This window comes from Homo sapiens, chromosome 21 (genome assembly GCF_000001405.40).
Source record: "Homo sapiens chromosome 21, GRCh38.p14 Primary Assembly".
Classification (NCBI taxonomy): Eukaryota; Metazoa; Chordata; class Mammalia; order Primates; family Hominidae; genus Homo; species Homo sapiens.
Genome location: NC_000021.9, coordinates 16,793,573 through 16,818,107, shown reverse-complemented (window position 1 = coordinate 16,818,107; position 24,535 = coordinate 16,793,573). Strand labels below are relative to the sequence as shown.

The 24,535-nt window shown below is 34.0% G+C and overlaps 1 annotated feature.

The window, feature by feature from the left end:
• Positions 22,438 to 23,637: an enhancer, noted in NCBI's record as "P300/CBP strongly-dependent group 1 enhancer chr21:18166790-18167989 (GRCh37/hg19 assembly coordinates)". NCBI's record gives its function as "activates an origin of replication core promoter dependent on BRD2, BRD4, P300/CBP, MED14 and CDK7 cofactors, with strong dependence on P300/CBP, by STARR-seq in HCT116 cells {active_cell/tissue: HCT116}" and the evidence as "EXISTENCE:reporter gene assay evidence [ECO:0000049][PMID:35650434]".

The window sequence follows — 24,535 nt, the reverse complement described above, 5'->3', positions numbered from 1 at the left end:
GACAGAGCGAGACTCCGTCTCAAAAAAAAAAAAAAAAATGTATATATATACTTATACTTCTAGGCCGGACGTGGTGGCTACACCTGTAATCCCAGCCTTTGACAGGCCGAGGTGGGTGGACCGCCTGAATTCAGGAGTTCAAGACCAACCTGGCCAACATGGTGAAACCCTGTCTCTACTAAACATACAAAAAATTAGCCAAGTGAGGTTGCGGACATTTGTAATCCCAGTTACTCGGGAGGGCTGAAGCAAGAGAATAGCTTGTATCTGGAGGCAGAGGTTGCAGTGAGCCAAGGTCGCACCATTGCACACCAGCCTGGGCAATAAGAGCAAAACTCCGTCTCAAAAAACAAAACAAACAAACAAAAAAAACAGAAAATATACTTCTAAAATTGAAAAACAGAAAATTATAATAAAAGAAATAGTTATGTATTCTGGAAGTTGTTATTTTTCGTTTCTATTTTTTAAAAGCAAGATTTGGACTCTTCCCCTTATGTGATCATCTAAACTAGTGACTCAAACCTGGACACAATCATGCACTTGGCAACATCTGGGACATTTTTTATTGTCACATCTGAAGAAAAGACGTGGTATAGACATTTAGTAGGTAGAGGCCATTTGTGCTGCTAAATACCTACACACAATACTCAGGGTAGCCTCCTACAAGAAAGAATTATCTGACTCAAAGCATCAATAGAGTCAAGGCTTAATTATTTTAAACTAACTTGTTAGAAGCTTCATATTTTCTGTAAAAATCCAAGAAATTATTGGTATTTTAATCAATAACGTAGTTCAATAACGATATATAGGATCCACCTGAATCTCTAAAATAATACCTACATTTTCTTATTAGCCCAAACAGAAACATATTAAATATCTCTTAGAATTTCCATATCCTCACTGTTACTATCTTAATTCACATATCTATTCTCACTTAACTGGTAGAAAGGAACAGGTGCACATCCTGTATATGACAGGTACTATAAATGACTTGCTCAACAGGCATTCCAACACCCTTTTAGCGTATGAAACAAACAAAAATAAACAACAAACAACATTTCCTCGACATTATTGTGGCTAGTGTTCTAGATATGATTTATAGTCTTTTGATAAGATGAACCAGCACAAAATTTTTATTTCACACAGTCATGTGACTAGGGAGTCAGGGTATCAAATCCATGGTATCCATGATAAATGCAATGTGGTTCTGGAATTGATAAAAGGTTGTAGCAACATTTTTCTGATTTCACATGCAGTTTTCTCCTTTTACAGGACTGTGGCAGGAACTGTAGCTCCCTTGATAGCCCAATTTTGCAATGTAGCCTCATGAATGATTCCTGAAAACTCAAACAAGAATTAGGATCTTTAGTTCTCCTAATGATCCTGTGTGATATTTAATGCCCTTAAATAAACCCTTTCTGTTTAAACTAGCTAGAGTAGATTCTTTTCTTTACCTGCAACTGAACACTGACTGATAGATACACAACAAAAAGACGGGTAAGGAAGAAAAACTCACTTTATGTGCCCACAAAGAACAATTATTTGGGTCTCCATTCTCAGGCTCCAAATGGTGCCTGCGGGAACAACAGGGCACATTACCATTATTTATATCATTTCACAAGTAAATTACAAACTCAAGTTTCTGGTTTCTTCTCTCTTTTTATTCTTTTCTAGCATTTTTTTAAATCTACTCAGGAACCACCTGGTCTCACCTCACATCCAAGAAAGTGAAATTCTTTGAGTGGTTCAAAAAAGTTCCTAGAGAATGTAAAATTCCATTTATTCTACTGTGAGAAAGTACGATGCAAATAAATCAATTTTTTTGTATTTAAATAATGTATTGATGTATGATATAGTAGGAATAGTTATATATTTAGAAAAAAGATTTTAGGATGCTATCTTGTCTTTATAATTCTGAAAGAAGGGCAGTTATGGAATTATGACATGACATATTTATCTACAAAATATTTTCATTGCTGTTAACTAAGTCGAGTACTATAATTTTTCCAAATTTATCTTTATTGTTTTTATTTTTCAAATTCAACACAATTTTTCTTTTCTTTTCTTTTCTTCATTATTTTGTCTTTATTCTCTCCTCTCACAATCCCTTTCTTCTTTTCTTAGCTTTGAGCTCCTCTCTTAACCTCCGTTTCTCATTTACTCAATTATTTAATTAATTAATACATATTGAGCACCTGCTAGCTGCTGACCACTGAGCCAGGTTATGGGAATAGAGAAGTCACTCTCTACTTTTTTGTAGCCCCCAGTGTAGTTAGTATGGGAGGCAGAAGAAGCACAAAACCGAATGTAGAAAAGAACTGAGTTTTATAAAGAAAAGCAGGCTGTAGAGATATGCCTAATTTGGATTGGTTGGGTCAATGGAAAGCAATATAAAGCAATGACATTTGAGTTTGAGGACAAAAGCATGTGAAGGAACTAGCCAGGATAAAATGCGAGGAACAGAATTTCAGAGCAGAAACTGAAAGGTCAGTGTATATGGGGAATAGTTAGTAAAGGAAAGCATGGCTTAAAGATCAAATGTAAGAGGCAGGCAGAGGCCAGAAGACACAAGGAGTTGTAAATAATTTGAATTTTAATGTCAGTGTAAAATGAAACCACTGAAGGTTTTCAGGAGAGTGTGAGGCATCCTGTTTACATGCTGAGAGAAGACTCTAGCTAATGCGTAGGGAAAGACTGGATGGTGGAAGAGCAGCAGACATTTATGTAAGGGTTAGCGTTAGAGTTAGGTTATTTCAGGAGCTCACTTAGACCAGGAAAGTGACAGCAGAGTTAAATACTGAAGTGTTTTTTAGAGCAAGGATTAGGAGATGGACTTTTTCCTTCAATTTCTTGCTTTTATAAACAATCATGATATGGATATCCTTATGAGTATCTCTTGCTGCATGTGTGCAATTTTCTCCCCAGAGCATAAGATGAAGTAAAAATTACGTGTTTTTGTGTTTGATTTTTTGCCATTTTCATACTGATTTGTGGGACATCTTATGATCCGCTTAGCTCATGGTGTCTTCAGTGGATCTGTGTTGCTCCACCGATGGGTTATTGCTGGTCCACTACAAGGTAGGCAGAGAAATTGAAAGTAGGTGGACTGAGTAATTTTATTACTATTCAATCTCATGTAAGAAAAGGACTTACATGTTATATGTTCTTTTAATTTTATTTTTCTGGTAATTCATTTTTATTGTATTATATAAATGTATTGGCCCATAAAAGATTAAAAATAGAAAAAAAAGTTGGCCCTCCACCATGGAGAGTTTGAAAAGTACTGCTTTCGATGCTTTAGCATCATAAAAATTACAAATATTTTCTCTGTGTTTGCTTACCATTTAGCTTTACTAGTGACATTTAAATATCATTTAGCAATGGAACTCCTGCTATTAATTTTGATTTAGTTAATGCATCAATATTTTTATTTATAAATTTGGCTTTGTTGTCTTATTTACCTAACTGCCCCACATTGCACCAAAGAAAGCATTGTGCTATATTTTCTTATAACCCTGTAGAACTTTCTTTTATGTTTATTGGATTAATCTAGAATTTATTTTTTGTGATGACTGTAAAATGAAATTTAACTTATCTTTCTAAATATTTATCCCAAAACTCTAAGACCATTTATTGAGTTGTTTTTCTTTTCTTCGCTGATTTGAAATGTCATTTTTTTCTAAATATTCAATTATTCCTACAGGTCCCCTTCTGAATGTTACATTTAGTTTTACAGATTTTGTTGCCTATCCTATGTCAACATTGCAGTTCTTTAAGACATATGCTTTTTAAGATTTTACATCTGGTAGGACATGTTTTCCTTTCTGTTCATCTTCAGACAGCTATTATCTATTCCTGAAAATGTATCTTTTACATGAAATTTATAATCAGCCTACAAAATGCTATAAAATCCTATTGGATATTGATTTACATTGCAAAGAATTTTTATATTAAATAAGAAAAAAAAACATGTCGAGACTTCTCATCCGCAACGATCTCTCTTCATTTATTCAGGAGTGATTATGCTATTGAGTAAACTTCTACAATTTTCTCTTTAGAAGTCAAAATAGTCTCTTGTGATTTTAAAATGTCTATTCCATCTCTAGCTATATCTCTTTCTCATTCTTAGTATTTTATTTAAGCATTCTCTTATTTTTTCTATATCAGTGTTACCTCATTTTTGCATTATTAATTTAAACTTTTCAAAGAACTCAGCTTAACTTTTTGGTTATCTTTGATTTTTTAATTTCATAGATTTTAGTGTATCTTTTAAAGTCATTTGCTGATAATTTACCCTCCTGAGTTTTATCTGCTATGAGGTGAACACTTTACTCATTATTTTGAAATCTTTGTTATAAGGTATAATCTTAAGTATTTTATATTTGCTGTTATTATTTTGAAAATAATTGTTCCTGTCTTACATTGGCAGGATTTAGAAAAGCTATTAATGTTTATACATTGTATTTCAATCTGGGTATATTGCTAAATTCCCTTATTGGTACTATTATAAATACTCTAGTTTTCCCTCTTACAACTATTCATAATAGCTTAAAATTCTGTCTTTCCAATCTAATTTTCTAAAAAAACCTCTTATTGCATTGGCTAAGACCTATAGTATAGTGATAGATAGTAGTAGTAATAACATAAATTATAACTTTCTGACTTTAGCAGGAAAGTGTGTAATGTTATTTATTAGCAGTTTGAAGGATGATATTCATGATGGGCTTCCAATTAACATGCAGTATCAGAATAAAAGAGTTTTATTATCCTTCCAGTTTGCTAAAATATTTTTTTGTTTTGATTTGGTTTGTTTCACTTGAAAGGTTATTGAATTTTATGATTTCTTTGCTTTAGTAGTAAATATAGTCAGTATGCATGAAATGGTTTTATTCATTTTCACTTTGAGAGCATTGCTTTGTAACCTCTGTATTTTTATTTTTTTGGTAAATATTGCAAGTGGGTTACAACTGAATATACGTTACCTTTTAAATACTGTATTATTTATGTTATGCAAATTTTTCTTTGTCTTGCTGGGTTTTGGTTTATTTTATGTTAGTTTTGGGGAAAAGTATGCTTAAATTTTTTATTATAATTGTAAAAATGTTAATTTCCCCTTTGTTAGGTTCAAAAAGTTTTACAATTCTTTAATTTTTTTCATAGGCAGAATTTTTCCTTTTTCAACATGAACTATCCCAATTAGTATTTTCTATTGATTTTATCTTAAATTTTAGTTTTCCAACATTAATGATGCCATAGCATTGTTATGTAGGCTTATGAAGCAAAATTCAGCTCAATAAATAAATTCTATGACAGGTATTAACAGTCCAGTATGTAGACCTCAAAAAAGGAAAAGCTTGTTGATTGTACATGAAGCAATGTAAAAAAGGAATAAAAGTATTAATAAGGGAGCTGGATGACTGAAACATAAAATGTCGTTTTTCAGGGACAATTAAAAATAGACTAGTGAGTTTAGTTTTGTTGATATTAAGATTATGGCAAGATATTTCTGTTAGGTCTTTGCAAATGGAGTTTTAGAACTCAGGTTCACCCAGATAAAGCTTTCCTTAGAATTTCATGTTCTTTTCAAGAAATTCTCAATCATTCAAGAATTTCTCAATCATTCAAGAATTCAACAATTTATCTTTTTCCCCTAACTTGTTTATCTAGCATTTAAACAAAATCTCTGGGACACAGAAAGGCCACAATAAAAGTATGTTACCTTGAATTGGGAGGGCAGCTGCTTTCCAATTTGTACCTAGTCTTACTGGTACTACTTTTCTTCATAATATAATCCTGCTCCACTTGGTTTAAGCAAACTAGGAAGGAGGTAAGTTTACTGAAAGGGTTTCATGGTCTTTAATAAAGCAGGCTTTATATTTTTTAATGCATCAAAGAGGTCTAAGAGATCATGTAGATGGAGATAAGGCAGGAACAGACACCAGATGGCAATGTGTAAGAGGCTGGAAAAAGAAAACATATGCTTTGGATGTAAAGTCATCCAAATAATTTGTCAGCAAATAATTCTATCAGCAATAGGAAGATAGCTATTGGGAGTCATAGGTCATGATATTCATTTTCAAGAAAAAATAAGAGAATGAAAGAGATAGTGCTGAACCTAGACTGTAGAGTGAGAAGTCCATAGCATAGGGCCAAAATTGTGTGAAAATGTGTAAACAGATAAATAATATTTATCTATTCTCAATGCCCTGATAGGGCTTCTGACCATATCAGGGCATTGAATTCTACATTTATCCCCTCATGCATTTGATGTCAACTTTCAGAGAAGAAGGAGCCCCGGAGCATAGGGGCAGTGTTTTTGAGTCTAGATCAAGATGAGGGAAGAAGCCAGAGTGTAGGGATTGAAGACAATCAAATGGGAGGGAACCTACAGAAGAGTAAGGTATGGCCAAGTCAAGGATTGGCCAATTGAGTCAAGGTTCAGAGGGGACCACGCAAAGAGAAGAAAAAAGCCAGGAGAATAGAGGGATAGTTTCTGAAGGTGGGGACCTAGAGAGAAACTCTGAGTGATAAAAGAAGGATTGATTGATTTGTGAAGGGCACTTGGGGCCTGCAGCATGCGCATGCAAGGAGCTGCTAAAAGTTCAGATGCTGACTTGTTTCCCTATGTTTCTTGCTCAAAAATTGTAATTTCAGTTCTTCTCCCATCCCTTAAATGTCCATCATTTTTGTAGCTTTGTATTAGATAGAAACAAAAACCAAACCAAAACAAAAAAACATAAGATTATCTGACTAAAATTTATGATCAACTTAACCTTCCTGAGAAGTAATTTATAAGTTTAAATGGAGGTTTTTGGTTTTTTACCCCTAAACCCAGATGAATCTCTAATCAGTAGAATGTGTTGGAGGAAGTTGAGCAAACTGACCTGAATGTCAGTAAATTGGACCAGCTAACTTATGGTTTCAATTTGACTATGTTTGGCTCAGAAATCTGTATTTTATTAGGCTAAGCCTTTTCTAATTTTGCATTTTCTTTTACTTTCTCCTGGGTTCTTAGCAAAGAAAAAGCTAAAATTTGAAAATAACTTGCCGCTTGCAAGGTGGGAAAGGGGTTTTGCTTATTTCTGGGTCTTGTAACACAGAGCCAACTCTGTGCCCCTGGAGGCTGTGGTGAAGACAAAATTAGAACCAAGAGGGAGGTGTAAGGGGAATCACTCATACAGCCATCTTTTTTTTTTTTCATTTTGCCTATGATGATCCCTCGTATATACTGTCTCTTCCTCATAGAGTTTTTGTGTATGTATTTCTAGAACCCGGTTGTCTATAATGATATTTTAAGAACCTGGCTGTATAGCTTTGCTAAAATAGAATTTCCAAAATTAGGACTCAAAAATCTGCATATTTATCAAACTCTTCAGATGATGCTTAAACAGCCAGCAAGGCATGATCTACAAGATACAGTAAAGTAAAACTCTACCCTGAATTTGTCCTTTTAGTGTGTGTGTATTTCCATGAAACTCTTTGAGAGTTGGAAAAGATTCAACTTGAAGAATACAAACCTTCAATTTTTTCATGAGGACTAAGAATTTCCCAAACAAAAACTTTCCCCACCACCAGTTCATCACTGACAGAAAATTTTCCAACAGCTGTTTTTTTATATCAATTTTTCCCACATTCTTAAAAATTATAAAGAAAAGGGAACATTAATTTCAAATTTATAACTTAACTAACTAGCTAGCTAGCTGCCATGACATGTCAGATGTAGAGAAACTGAGATTATGGTGCCTAGAATATAATGGACGCTCATTAAATATTTATCTGCTAACTGACAAGAAAAAGAGAAACATTCTATAAGGAGGAAGAGAAGACAAAACTGAGTTGTGTAGTCACTACAAACAACCAATTTGTAATTTGCTTCTGACCTCCCAGAAATTCTGCCATGTGCTGCCTGTTAGTAGCTTCCTGATATATAATTCTACTTATTTTTTGAGGTAAAAATTTTATACAGTGGAATACAGTAATCCACTAATCTATAGTGCATTGTGTATGATAAGACAAATGTATATATTTCTAGAGTGTATTACAAATACATACAACTGTGTTATCCACATTCCTATCAAGATAGAACATTTCTATCAACCCAGAAATGTTCTTCCCTTCACTTCCCAGTCAATTAATTCCTCAGAGGCGATTGTTACCTGATTCTTATAATGATGAATTTGTTCTGTTCTAGAAATTAATATAAATAAAATATTTTTGGAATTATCTAAGTTCTTGCATGTATCATAGTTCATTCTTTTTGTTACTGAGTAATATTCCATTACACAAATATTTGTTTATTCATTTTTCTGTTGAGGAACATCTGTGTTGTTTTGAGCTTTGAGCTACAAAGAATAAGGGTCCTACAAATATTCTTCTAGAAACTTTTAGTTGATATATGTTTTTATTTACTTCATTAAATACCAAAGAATGGAACCACAAATTATAGGGCCAGTGGAGGTTTAATTTTATAAGAAATTGCCAGTGTTCTACCTGCCATGTATAAAAATTATGGTTGTTCCATGTCTTAGTCAATTTAGGCTGCTATAACAAAATACCTTAGATCAGGTGGCTTATTAAAAAACAGAAATTTATTTCTCAAAGTTCTAGAGGCTGGCAGGTCCAAGATCAAGGGTTCAGCAGATTCAGTGTTTGATGAGAGCTTGCTTTCTGGTTCATAGACGGCATCATCTAGCTGTGTCCTCCCATGGTGGAAGGGGCAAAGGAGATTCCTGGAGTCTTCTTAATCAGGGAATTAATCCCATTCACGGGGGTTCTGCCATCATGACCAAATCACCTCTTAAAGGCACTACCTCCTCACACAATCACATTGATAATTACGTTTCAAAATACAAATTTTGGGGAGACACAAACATTCAAGCCATAGCACTCCAAATAGCCTATATTTCAGGTTGTCAAACATTTCACTGTGGTTTGATTTGCATTTCTTTGATGATTAATGACACATAATACCTTTTCTTATGCTTGTTTGCCTTCGTATATCTTCCTTATCTTCATTGTGAGGTTTCTATTCAAGTCTTATGCCCATCTAAGTAATTTTGGTTCTTGTGTTGTTCTCACTGAGTTGTAAGAGGTCTTTATATATCCTGGGTACAAGTCCTTTGCCAGATAGAAATGTTCTGAATATTTTCTGCAGGCTGTGGCTTTGCCTTTTCACTGTTTAAAGAGCAGATGTTTTTGGAGAAGGAGCTTCTTAAATTTTTGATGGGATCATATTTATTAGTTGTTTTCATGGTCCACAGATTTTCTGTTCTATCTAATAGACTTAAAGAGCTTGGAGATATTATCTAATGATTTCTTGTATAAGCCTTATGATTTTGGTGTGTACATTTAGATATAGGACCTACTTTGAATTAACGTTTTTGTGTGAAAAAGTACTGGTGGAGGGGTCAGTGTTCAACTTTTGTCCATATGAATGTTTGTGTTTGCCTATTTTGGCACCATTTGGTGGAAAGATTTTCATTTCTAACTAAATGTAATTTGGTGTTCTTTTAAAAGATCAATTAATTAAAAGATTAATTCTTTGGTGTTCTTTTAAAAGATTAATTAAAATATTATTTTTTGGAGTTCTTTTAAAAGATTAATTAATTGTACATTTTGGGTATATTTCTAAGAAAACTCTTTGGGTTTATTAAATATATTCATTTTTCTTTCCAGCAGTCTAAATTGTCTTAATGTACCTTGTTCTATGTCTTAAAGGCAAGTATTGTAAATACTCCAAATTTGTCTTCATAAAGATTGCTTTTGAGAATCATCTACATACTTATTATTTCCATATACAATTTAACATCTTTGTCAAATTCCACAAAAACAACTATAAAATTTTAATGGGCTTGTATTGAATACAAAGGACACTTTGGGGTATATTTGACATCTTAGCAATTTTGTGCCTTGTGCTTTAGGAATATATTTTCCAACTTATTTAGGTATTCTTTAATTTATTTTCAGCAAAGATTTTGTGGTTTTCATGTGTTGGCATTACAGGTTAGATTCTGAGACACATTGGCTTTCAGAAAATTTATTGCAGAGTTCTCTCTTGGGATAACTATCTACCTACCATGAAAGTGTTGGTAGTGGGTTTAGTTAGGAGAAGTTGTGATAAAATGCAGTCACAACAAATGTGTCAGTTTATCTGATAAGAATATCAAAATCCAGAATTACCCTTTAAGATGCTGAATCGAAGCAAAGAAACTGGACTGTTATGACTCTGTATTAAGTAGTGGTTGGTTTCAGACTGTACTGAGAGAAGATATAGCCTTACGTGAAATGACTCTCTTTAGCTGAGAGTAATTGGCAGAGAGAGCTCATATATGAAACCTATCTGCCAACACCCCTTCCAGCAGTTAGGAGAATAATTCTTTCAGAACTAGAGGGCTAGGGTGCTGGAGTACTAGGATGCACAGGACTCCATCCACTATATTTCATTATTTGTGCCTCTTGGGTCCACTTACTTCATAGGATTTCTTGAAAAAATCCATCAGGACTCTGGTGGGCCTTATTTCCCAGGGGAAATTTGTAAAATGAATTTTAGTGGGATGAACTATAGCCTCTACCACTGAAGCTGTTCTCTTGGCCACAAAGGATACTCATTATCTCTACTGTCTATTAGCCATTCAAGAGTCCATTCACAATTGGATAGCAACTCTGCTCATTTAGGAGGTTTACCTAGGGTAAGACCAAGAACCTCATATCTCAGATAGCTGAAGACCTGATCATCATGACCTTCTTAAGATGTGGCTGCTACACTCCACTAACAGGTAATGTGCAAAGGAGGCAGAAAAAATGTTCAAGTGTGTCATCTGAGTGCCAAACTTATTCCTCAATTTTGTAACAGCAGCACTATCTCTGTGATAATCAGGGACAATTACCCACTTCAGGTCATTGAATCTTCTGTGTTTCTGCTAGTTTCTTTGCTGAAGTTCAGAGTGCACAGGCAATAGCCAAAGAATAAAATCTGTTGAGACTCTTTTTGGGTCATTAATTGGAAATGTTAACCATTTGGATAACTAGGATTTACAAAGACCTTTTCAGAGTGCAGTGTTGAAGGCACCATGAATATGGATTTAAAAAAATGATAGTAACCAAGACCACTTTTACATTCACATTTTGGTTTCTGGATCCATGATTTCTCTCAGTTGAAGACATAACACCATATATTAGTTGCAAACTAAGAGTATATATTTCATCCTTGAGCATGATACTCATCCTCACATAGTATCATATCTGAGCTGGTACCTCAGCTGCAACTTCAGCACGCCACCTTACTGGAAGGTCAGTCTGACAGATTCTGAGTGGTGGTGCCTGCATTATTAGGACCAGTGGATCCCATTGTTGTGTGCTAATTGCCATACGTGTTGCTATAAAATAAATCCCTTGGTTTCATGCAATTTTTGTGCTTATAAATCTAACACTAAACTCTTAGATGTTGGTGCTGGCTGAGGTCTTGTGAAGCAGAAAAGGCAACACTATCTACAGAATATATGTCAGTTTGAGTCAAGATTAATCACCGTCCCTTTCAGAGTGAAGGGGTCTAATGTGGTCAAATTGCTGTTGAGCGTCTGTTCAGTCTCCTAGTGAAATGGTGCCATATTGGGGGCTGAGGGTTTGTTCTCTATTTTTGGCAGGTTGCATGTTATCGATCTGTTAATTGAAATGTATATAGTATATACATAGTATATAGTATTTGCATTTGCGTTAATATAATTATTAATTATCATTGGGTTTAAGTCTTTAATCCTGTTATTTGTTTTCTATAGTAGTAATACCATTTGCTATTTATTTCTTCTTTTTTCCCACCATTTGGTATCAAGGGTGTACTGACTCATTAAATAAATTGCATTCTGTTGTATTATTCATGTGGCTTTAGAAATCCACTTTATCTCATATATTATCTAATTAAATACATATCCTTTATTTATTATTTTAATTTTAATTGTTGTTCTAAGGGTCATAGTATACATCTTTACCTTATCACTATCTACTTCAAAACTATATTCTGTCACTTCTTATATAATATAAGAATCTAATGACAATATATTTCTCATCACTTCTTTTCTATTTTGTGTTACTTTATCATATTAGTTACTTCTAAATATGTTATAAACCTCAACAGGCATTGTTATTACTATTTGCGTTAAAGTCATTTTTTTAAATTAAGAAGGATAAAAGCATATTTTATATTTAATTACATGTTAACCATTCCTATTCATTATTTCTTCAAATACATTCGAATTCCTAAGTGGCACCTATTTCTCCTAAAGAACTTTATTATTGATTGAGCTTTAAGTCTGTGGGTGACAAATTCTGTCAAGCTTTGTTTAACAAAAATATTTTTATCTTCTCTTTATTTTTGAAGGATTATTTTTGCAATGCATTGAATTCTACATTGACATTTTATCTCAGCTATTTAAAATGTTGTTTTATCACCTTCTGCAAGTGAAGCCATTTGTTACATTTTTCCTGTATATAATGTATCTTTTTAATCTAAGTGCTTTTAGGACTTTTCTCTTTATTTTTGGGTTGTTGCCATTTGACAGTGACATGCCCCACATGTTCTTTTCTGTGTTTATCCTAATTCTTTGAGATTACTGGATCTATGGGATGAGTATTAAAGTATTTTAAAGTACTTTACACATGAATGATGCTTTTTGGGTTTGCATTCTTTTACAGTTAGTGCTTGTGTTTGGATAGTTTTATGGTCTGTCTTCAGTTTCCTGAACTTTTCTTCAGTGGTGCCCAATCTCTGATTCCCTTTTCATTTCAGATATTGTATTTTTCAGTTTTAGAACATCCTTTTTTCATCTGTTTATTTATTATATCCAGTTTGTCCTTGAATTTCTTGAGTATATTTATCATAACTATATGAAGAACCTTGTGTCATAATGCTGATATTCACGTCTTCTATGTGTCATCTCTGTGTCTATGTCTATTGACTGTTTATTCTACATTTTTCTCTATTTATTTACAAACATTGTACTTTTGATTGTATGCTCAACACTGTGGATGCTACATTGCTGAAATCTGAATTTGTAAACTTCTTTAAAGAATATTATTCATTGTTCTGATAAGTGATTACACACAGATCAGCTTGCTGGTGTCAAGACTTGAGTATGTCTAAAATACTGCTCATCCTAAAACTTGGTCTTTCTGAAGTCTGAAATAGAAGTTGATGGTTTTTAGGGAGGTTCAGTCTTCTTAGCCCTAAGGAGTCTCTAGAATTTTCATTTAACTTCCATTCAGATCTCTTTCAGAAACCATTATGATGTCTCAGCCTGTGCAAATGAAGCTTAATATTTCATAAAAGAATCAAGATAGACCACATGCAGATTTATGGGCTTCCTTCTCAGTATGTTATATGTCTCTCCTCTCCAAAATTCTGTCCCGTAAATTTTAGCCACCTCAGCAGCCCCAAATCCTACAGATCTCTGTTTGTCTACCCAGTAATTCTATTGCTTTGTATCTGTCTCCACTTCTCTATGGCTCAGTTTGGAGAGTGTCACCAGAGAAGAAACTGAGGCAAATGTGGAACTCATATTTTCCTTTTTAAAGGATCAGAGCTCTGAACTATCTGTGTATGATAGCATCATTTTACAGCTTTATATGGTAAGAGAGTAAGTCCAACAACTGTTATTTTATCTTAACTGTAACCATAATTTTGCTCCTTCTTCTGTAAAAATAAGTAGGTATCTTTACATTGTGGTTTATTCTTTACAAAGCATTATTATTTTATCACAGTATTCTCAAAATACCATCAAATAAATTATAACTTATGATAGGTAGGGAAGAAGGAAAATTTTAAACTCCATATTTCTGATAAAGATATTAAGCCTAAAGGAGAATAACTGATTTGCTTTAAACAACCTGAATTCATATTCGGTCTTCTAATTTTTATTTTAGTATTCTGTCTACTGTAAAAATATTGTTTTAAAGAAAAATAATTTTTTTTGTTTTTTAAGTATATGTTTTCTGGACTTTTGGATCTTTGTTTAAGCATATCCTTTCTTTTTGCAAGCTACAATTTATCAGCACTCCAGAGCTTTTATATCATTTTTTAACTCAGACTTTTGCTTTTCTGTATTTTCTTCTTTTCTTCATTCTGAGAAAATCAATGTCAAGTGTGCCTAATTTTCTGAATGGCTTTATTAGCCAAATATATGAAAACAGAGATGATCGCTACATTTATTTTAATAAAAATTTTAATGTGATGTTAAAAATGCAAACATGATATTTGATTTTCATAATATAATTGTGATGCCCATAGATAAACATTTGATCCATCTATTGTAATTGTAATCTTACTAAACTTATAATTTAGTATTAATATGGTTATCTCCACTACAATCTTGGCATCATCTTTGACTCCAAGCTTCCTAAGGCAAGTAAAGACTATGTCTTTCTTGTTTAACCACTAGTGCTCACTACACTAGCTGGATTATAGTGGGCGTACATTAAATATTATTGAAGGTTTGAACAATGAATGCTGATGAGTTTATATTTATAACTCTGTATTCAATTCTGAGAATCATAATTCAAGAAGGTCATGACAAATTAGATACAATGGAGGAAAGAATGGCTTAAATAAATGGTCAAATGTGTGGAAAGAATGATTGAAAAAGAAACCAATGTTACACTGAAAAGAGACTCCTAAGAGGGCACACAATGGCTGTGTTGAAATATTTGAAGTTATCTTATATAGGTTGTGTGGCAGGCTTTCTCTGTAATGCTTTATAGAAACTCACTAAACCTAATAATGTAATGTTTCAGAGAGGCAAATTTCCAGCTCTGTATAAGCAGGAATTCTTTTTCAGATAAAAGAATACACATTAGAATTAAAAGCCTTAAGGATACAGTGGCGTTCATACCTTTTCTTGGTTTTAGGGACTAAATTTATCAATTGAGGAACATGAAGGCAATTTATGTATCACTTAGTGATGCATATCAGGTGATATATAAATTTAGTCCCAAACTACATTCATAAAAATATGATTCCACCATTCAACAAATGTTTATTGAGCTCCTAGTATGCGCAACATCATGAGGAAATAATTTTATGCTGTAGGGAGGGTTTATTTCCAAAAACTGTCACTTCACAAGAAATTCAGAGATTATTTTCCCACCATATTTGGATTTGTAGCTTTTTTAAAGAAATTTTACTGCTGAGAGTGAAGTACACACACAGACTCTTAAAGAAAAAGAACAAAGAAAGTTCAAGAACCACTATCTGGCAGATTCTTAGAAAATTAAAGTAATTATATTTTCAAAAGATTCTCAAGATTTAATAAGATAAATTATTAGGACAAATGATCACTGAAACAGATCACAGAAATCACAAAATTTATTATTTAAGGAAAGATTGCTCTTTGTGACTTAAAATGAGAAGGATCCATATAACATGTTTGAGATTAGTTTCAAAATATGACCTTTCTTAAAGTTTTCCATCCTCCGGGATTCTCTACAAACAACTATGATTGCACCGAATTGCTCCTTGAACTGCCATTAACAAATATGAAGCATAATGTAATATAAAATTTCTTATAAGCTTGAAAATAGTGACACTATGAAATCTGAACTTTCATAATCTCAGCAATTTATGAATATATATGAGGTCATATACAGGCTTCAGTAAATAAGAAAGATCATTACTATCATCTACTGATAACACATGTACTTTAGTTTCCTGCAAAGACTCTAGACTCATATATGTTAGTCTCCGAGGGTCTGTCAAATGTTCAGCAGTAGGTACAAGTGTAGACACATGACTGACAATGCCAAAGACAATTCTGCATGGCATAGCTGTTTTTATTGCTATGGCCACTGTCAAAAGCTGAGAGTCGTCGGATCGAGAACCCTCTGTCACTTAATTGCCTCTGGTTTGAGATGAGCAGTTTATCCTTTAATGATGGTTCCAGCTCCACCAGTCCTAGAGGGGGTTCTTGCTGCTCACTGGGTGTGGGGCACACGGTCACTGCTTCATGCTACCCAAATCCAGCATCTTCTTTCTAATGTTCGTCTCCACGCTGCCAGAAAAGCAGCCACTCTCATTCCACCTTTTGGTGTAGATGCACTGGTATAAGTGGTTCCACTTCAGAGTCTGGTAGTTTCTTCTATGGCTGGGCAGAGATGTTCTCTTTCATTTGTTTCTTGAGCCCATGGGATCTCAAAGCCTGTGGAGATCATGAAGGAGTTAGAGAAAATTCCTCTCTTCTTTGTGAGATCTGAGCATAGTTTCTTGGGCACTGGTGTGTGACAGAGTTCCGTAAACCTGCCCCTTATGCTAGGAAGAGAGAAGCCTAAAAATATACTTTAACATTACACTGTGAGGAAGCCTTAAGCTATACTTCAAGGCTTCTCTCTCTGGTATATAGATATGCATGCAAGTGTGTATCCCAGCATCAGACTTATACACGAGCCATTGTATGGTACTAAGAATCTCTATTCCCTTCTGACAACTAAGTTCTTATAACTAGCTCAGACTCAGGATTCCAAAGTTCCTGTTACCTCAAGAGTAGGTCTCTCCTCAGAGGATTCTCACTCTCCATGCAAATAGATGTTTTTCAGTTTTGTCTCATTAATAATCCCCACAATGATCAGTTATGCCTGAATGTCCAGGTGTAATCACAATAGAGATACACCCTGTAAGGCAGGATAAAGGATGTGGTAATCCTTTTGGCAGAAGTTGTGATATGTGGAGATAATTACTAGAGTATTTAAATTTCCCATTATCTATCTCAGAAATTATATATGAAGCTACAAGGAAAACAGAAAAGATTTCATTCTATAGAAAAATCAAGTAACTAAGAATGACTGTATAAAAGTAAGCATAGACTTACTTTTTTCCCCATTCTAGAATATCTGCAATGCTTTGTAATTACTTTTTAAAGATAGTACTAATAGAGGAAAGAAGGACCTATCTCCTACCCTTTGTAATTCTTGTAATACGCTCACTGTTCGGGAAGATCATCTTGGAACCAGTGACTCTCCACACCATGTGTGAATGAATCATGGCACTAGGTAGGAATGTGATCTTCAGTTAAGTGATTTTCCTACTGTTAAATTTGAACATACTGCATCCTATCCACACTTTGTTTAAGTCAGTACAGCTTGTATTCATTACTGGGAGGTTTTATGAGTGAAATTTTTTGTTTGGATTCATCCAGAACATATAATTCATACACAAGATTATTATTTTTGCAGGTACACTGTTGGCCTTTTTTGACATACACACATCAAGAGGTTTTAGGTTAGACACAAACAGGGCACTTGACCTCATAAAGTTCACAGATGTGTCAAAAAGGAAATGGAAATTAGACAATGTATTCTTGTTTCTCTCTGGGATGTATTGGGTAGGGCACATTACTTCCTGGATACACTGATAACATCTTTCCACATTTTATGCAATGAAGTGTGACCAATATCCTACTTTCCTTAAAATTATTGCCACAGAGTCTAGGTTCTTTCCCCCTGAATAAAACTGACTGGGGTTGACTGCTTTTTGTGGTCCTCTCTCTCCTCTCCTCCTCTATGACGGTGCCACTCTGCTTGAACTTGATATATCCTTGATATCTGCCCCCCTATTACTGCCTTTTCTCTCCTTACTGCTTGCCACACAATTTCTGGGCTAAGATGATAAACTGAGCACATATGCACTAATATAAGGAATTACTCTGGAGAAAAGGCATAAACGGCATGTTCCTTACCATAGTCATTTGGGCTGTTCCCAGATATTCTTGTTCATTTCTTCTTCCCAGTCAACAGAAAGATTGCATGTACCTGCCCTTTTAGTAGTTAGGAATGGCCATATTGTTTTACTTTGCCCAATAATAGGTGAATGAAGATAATATCGGTCATTTCTGGACAGAAAGTTAAACAAGATATTTGTTTTATTTCTTTTTTTTGTTTTGTTTTGGTCTCAGCCACATGAGAACATGTGTTGAGATGGAGATTTAATCACCTGGAGCATGAATGACTATGATAAGCAGAGTCTGCATGCTAACCTTCAAGGCACAGACAAGGAGAATGAAAAATAAACTTGTGTTTTGAAAAGCTGCTGAGATTTGGGTGTGCTTGTTAGTGCAGTACAGCCTAGCATAGCCTGACTAGTATACTCATTAATGCAAATTATAATGCTAGTTTCTCGGCATATGATCTCATTTAATTTCTAATTGGTTATTGAGATCTGTATATAATGAACAGCACTAGTTATTTACTTGAGATGCAAGTATAAAAATGAGCAACATTCCGTCTTTGCTGTCAAGATGCTCAGAATTTATTCTCTCAGGAAGTTTATGTTTACTAGCATGGTACATGTCAGGTTATTCTGCACAATTTTATTCTGCATGGATAAAAATCATTGAGAGGCAGAGTATCCATTTGTGAGTCTGTATGTGGGATGGGGGGCAGTGAGATTTTTTTTAGGTACCAATTCCCTAGGTGCAAACCATAGTACATGCAAATTCAAATGGTCCCATATCCAAGGTACATAAACCAAAAAAGCAAGGTGGGAAGTAGTAGAAGATATTGCTCAGGATTAGATATCTACCTAGGCACGATGATACCATCAGAGAATGTCAAGAGAAGAAATAAAACTTAGGATACACAGATGAGTCTCTTGGTTGCTTCAAGCTACAATATTAGAGTTTAATGCAAACATAAATATAAAAAGGGATCTGGATGAGAACAAGAGATCCAGAAAGAAGGTAACCAGAAGCATCTGCCACATAAAAAGTAAGGATTAGGTAGAAAAGTTGCAGCCCAAACTCACAGAAATACTCTGGGTAAGAGGAGAACACAGGCCCAAGTGGAGAGCGGGCATCCAACCAAATTGCCACAGCAAGGGACACTAATGTAAAAAACGGATCTTCTATCCTGGTACCGCCATCTTCTTGCTATGCAAACTTGAGCCTACATAGCTTCTTTGTGCCTTAATTCCTTAATCTGTACAATGAGAATAATTTAATTCAGAGTCTCATAATGTGAGCATTAAATGAGGTAATCTCTGTAAAGTATATATGATAGTGGCTGGCTTATAATAAATGCTTAGCAAAAATGAGCCATTATTTTTATTATGGATGCCATTATGTGATTATTCCTTCTTTGGAGTTCCAAGTAGTGGGTGTATTGGTTCACGAAATGTGGGTGATTACATTAAAAACAGTATGTAAAATAGTACCAAAGCCAGGGGTGATTTGGCTGAGCCAATGTGAAATGTTAAGCCCAGTAATTAAGGAAGTATTTTTTATTTGCTTTGGTGCCTAGTTTCATTATCTTGGTTATATGAAAGTATATATTTGGCTTTCATGAGAGGACTTTAGCAATACTAAGAGGAAAGGAAACCTTTTAGTAAAGTCATTGCCAGAAGTTACATTTCTGATTTTTATTCCTTCTTTAATCCATTATGATTTTTTCGTGCTCATCCAGTGCAATTTGGTTAATATTCTTTCTCCTTCTTCCATTTACTTCCAAAAATGCATTGGCCATTAAGCCCATTTTGTAAACGTGATACATTAATATGGGTTTCCTTCACATTTTTATGAGGCTGACACTGGCAAATACTAAAAGGAGGTTGAAGCTGTCAGGGTTTTATGTGACTTTGATGACAGGTATTTTTAAGGCTTCCTTTCTGTTATATGATTTGAGGAGTGGTACCTCTTCTTTTTTTTTTTTTTTTTTTTTTTTAAATGTAGAAAATACATTTTCTATAATGTCAAGAAAGCCAGTTGGTGATTAGAAAGATTAAGCAGACACCTTGGCTCTAAGAAATGCAAACATAAGAAAAATGAATTGTACAATTTAGATTTAGCCAAGGGCATTTCAAGGCTCAAGGCTGTTTTTCTCAATGAATAGTGGAGTAATAAATACTTTGTCTTCTCTTATAGCAAGACCAGGCTGGCCTCTACGTCAGACATTCTGGTAAACAATGAAAAGTATGAAAATATTCTTGGCTTTCTTAAGGACTGTGAAAAAGAAAATGACATCTAAATCTCTGCATATGTTTAGTCTGAAGTCATACTACAGAAGACTATTATTTGGAGGAAGAAGGGGTTCTCGTAAAAGAAGCCAGATGGGTAGACAATTATTGAGATTGCATAGTGGCTAATTTGTGCAATAAGAAACAGAGTAATATATAACAGTGACACTTACATTTTTCAAAAGTGTATTTCTCTTATGCCTATTATCTCTCTAAATATTAGGCATGCATTTTGTCTACTTGCCTATTTAAAATTCTCATTTATTCCTCACCCCTCCCCCACTATTTTTTTAAAGATCCACTGAAAAGTGTTGCATGCCTGTGAATTATACCCCTAGTGTGACAGACGATGACTATTTGGAGGATGCCAAGTTTCAGTTGCCCTGGCAACAATAACCAGGGGATGCTTCTCAGAACTTCTGCCTCCGCTCTTCCCCATCATTTTTCCTGTTTTGAGAGTTAGATAACATGGTTACCAGAATTAACAGAAACTGGTTTCCCCCTGGCATAATGAAAAGGAGAAAACTTAGACATGTCTGCCTTTTTCTTACCTCAAGGGAAATTCTGCATATATCTGCAGTCAAGACTGAATAGAGAGGGATCCCGCAGAAGGGAAAGAGCTGCATGCTATCATACTAATAAATACTCAATGGTGAGAGAATTAAATGTCAGAGCTGCAATTGCAGACAGCTTTTGAGAAATAAAAAAAATCATTGTTGAATTTTCCACAAGTAAGCTAAAAGAACAGTATGTAAATTGCATTGCAAGATGCTATGTTCTGTGAGAGGAAATTTTTGGTCTGTTCTATTGAATCTGATATGGCAGATTTAATTTTTCTTTCTCAAATGAGGAAAACCTAATAAATGGGAATGTCATCTAGATAGTGATATGGAAAACTTATTTTGATTACTTATGACTTATTGATATGCACATCTGCCACCATCCCAAATAAATATTCATACTAAACCAGAGAATGAAGTTTAAGGAAATTTGTTTGCTAAGAGAAGCAAAGTAAATTTCTGTGAAGCAAATAAGTTTCATCTTCAAGGATCCTCTCTTGTAAGGGCTCTTTCTAAGGCCCTGTAACTAAATTTGCATTTGTAAATTTTTTTTTTAATCCTTACTCCCCCCTCTCACCATTATGTAAGCTTTAAATTCCACAAATTCTGGATCCACTCCTAAAAAGAAAAGGAACATGAATGACTTGTGTGATCACTTATTGTTGCTATTATATTATGACATTCAGACTTCTAACCTTGTAGTTCTGTTTTGAATATTCATGTCTGTTTTATTTCCTCTCATTTTGGGGGATATAATAAATTCTCCATCAATTCCAGGCTTGTGCATATTTAAACAGCAATAACAAAAAATGTGCAGTTTGCATGCATCATTGTAGTTTCAAAGCCATTTAATAAAATTATAGGTAGGAAATGAAATGGCAGATAATAGAAAATAAACAGGACAGATCCAGACATTTTAACATAGTGCATTTTTTTGCTAGCATGGTTTTTTAGAGTCTAGTCTATGTGATTTCCAAAGAACACATCAGATTTCTGACTTTTTTGGATAATCTTAACAATAAATTTAATTAAATAGATGTCTAATGCAGATTCTTTTAGAACACCTTTTCCATAATCTTTTAATAAGTAGTGTTCATCACATATATGTCAATAATATTCAAAGGATATGCCAAACAATCCTTTGGGGATTTACATAAAATAAATTGAGTTTTACAAATAAGATGCTAGAAACTTTTAGTAATTATTTAAATCCAGTACTTGGTGCTTACTCTGGAAAAGTTTTGAAAGGTATAGGAAAACTTAAGTCTTTGTTCTCCTACTAATTATTTTATCACAATTTATGTTTTCTATAAAAATAGATACATCCATTAAACTGCATTTTCTGGGTACAAGGTCTTTATTTTAATTTTATTTCTCAAAAGCACAGTGGCTTGAACCCAGTAGCTTCTGATACATATTACTTCAGTTGAATCTGACATAATAAATTTTTCAAAAACTTTGCTCTCAAACCCTACAGCTTATAGAGATGGTAATGAGAATCCCATAATAGATACTACTGGAAATTTTTATCTTTACCAAAATATTTAAATGATTTAAAGAGAATATATTCACATAATTCAAAATTTAAAAGGAACAAAAGGAAATATGTACATTGAAAAAACTCACTCCACTTTCAGAGATATTTTAAGCATATACACATATAAGTGCTCACATTCTTTTTAACATCTTATACAAATACGGAAGCTTAATTTTTTTCCTCAACACTATCTTGTAGATGGGCCCATATCAGCAAACAAACAAATGAGCAAAAAGCTATGTTCACATTCTGCGTTGTGGCTACATTGCATTTTATTTTATCTTTGTCGTATAATGTAAGAAAGTGACCATTTATTGATGCATGTTTAGATATTTTTCCAATATTCTCTCACTAAAAACACAATTGCAGTGAATAATCCTGTACATGACACTCTTTTGTACAAATAAGAACAAATTTAATAGGTCATATTCCTATTTCTAATTAAGGGACAAAAGTTGTATATTTTTATATATTGATAGATACTATTAAATTGCCTTCCACACAGGATAAACTCATTTATATTTACAATCAGAATGCCCTTTTCCTTCATTCTTACTTACAGAATGTGCTATCAAACTTTTCAATTTTTATCAGATAGGCGAAAAATTTTGTCACTGTAGTTTCAATTAATTTTTTTCTATTTTTGAAGTTGAAACTTTAAAAAATATGTTTAAGGACATTTACATTTATTTCTGCTGCAGCATAACTTTGTGGATATCTCCTTCCTTGCATTCAATACAATGTTCAATTATTATTTTTTTCTTGTGTCCTTGGTCATCATTTTTCTCTTCTGTTACTGCATAGGATTCTTAAAGGTCAGTACTTGGCTGTCCGGTTCATCACTGACTCACCAGCTCCCATAGTTCATCGCTGATTCACCAGCTCCCAGCACAGCAGTGTCCGTAGTAGGCATTCAGCAAATATTTTTTGAACAAATGACTTAGGCAGTGAGTCCACCAGGAGATCTCCAGTGTATGCCACAGAACTCTGTCCTTGATTCTGAGCTCAATTACTTCTGAGTCTCCTAAAACATTTGGCTATTCTTCAAGATTTTTTTGAAAGCTTGGTAAGCTATTTGAAATGGAATTGAGAAGCACAATATTAAAGAGACTCATACCTAATATTTTAGAATATGATATCCTTGTGACTTCTCTAAGATATCTAAATTATAACCATATTTTAGTTTTCCATGAGGAAGATGATTTTCTAATGGAAATTATTGGTTAACTGAAAGTTTTTCAGTACTGTCATGGAAAGAGAAGCAAAAATGTGTCTAGGAAGCAGGGAAAGAATAAATACATTTATTTATGGGCTTCCATATTATACCTAGAGCACTACAAAACTTTTCTGTTAAATGGTACACAAATTTGCTACACTGAGCTTTGTCACTGAATGAGAATGTATGGTTTTCAGGAAGGTAAATTATTGAAAAAACTTGTTATCTATCAATTAAGACATTGGGCTTCAATCATAAAATGAATAGTAATTTAAAACTTCTTCTTTCTACAGAGAGTATCATCCCCTGTGTAAATTCTTTCAGCAATTAAAGATACATAGTAATTGTTAAAATTGCTAAGTAGATTTGTGGTGTATTTGAGTGACTAATTTCACAAAATGCATAAATATTACTACATTTTTAAGCAGAATTCAACAAATCTTGTTTAGGGTTTTTTTCCCCCTCATTTTAACATATTTAATTTAAATAAGGCCCAGAGCTTACCCTATAGCATGTATTTGAGTTGAGAGTATAGAGAGCTCTGCCAATTATGTAAAAGTCTGGTTTTATTCTGAGCAGAACCACAAACTTGAAACGTTGTCACGTTGTAACTGATTTCGGGATTTGCACTAAGGAAACCAGAGAAAAGAGGCTGGAAAGTTAGGTAGTTTGGGACAGAAGGGTCTCAGATTTCAGGGGAAGAGAAAAGGGCCTTAGAATAAAAAAAGGACAGGCATAGCTGATACACTCCAGGAGACATGCTACTTTATAATCAATTTTAAGGTTCTTTCCCCCTGCATTGTAATTTTTTAATGCAATCCTTAGAACTTCAAGTTAGTTTGTTAAACCAATGTGGTATCAAGTAAGCTGCTGTAAGGAAGCCAATGTGTGGATACATATCCATGTCTTGGAGGGGCAATTGACTAGACAGAACAGGCTCAGCAAAGAGAACCAATGATGGAATGGACTGAGACAATGCTGAAGAATCCTAGCTCTAGAGACAAAATTGAGAAATGACAAATGACTGCCACCCCTACAATACACACTCACTGTGGGACCTCAGAAACAGCAGAAATGGGGTCTGGATTTCTGTTCTTATGGGGGTGAGACTTAGGTATTTGTGAAATGGTACAGGATAAGTAAGCTCAGAAGACAGGAAAAGTTAGAGGATAATCAAATGTGGCTTAACGATATACTTATAGACATTTGTTACAAGTCCTCAGTATAGTTCAAGAGTG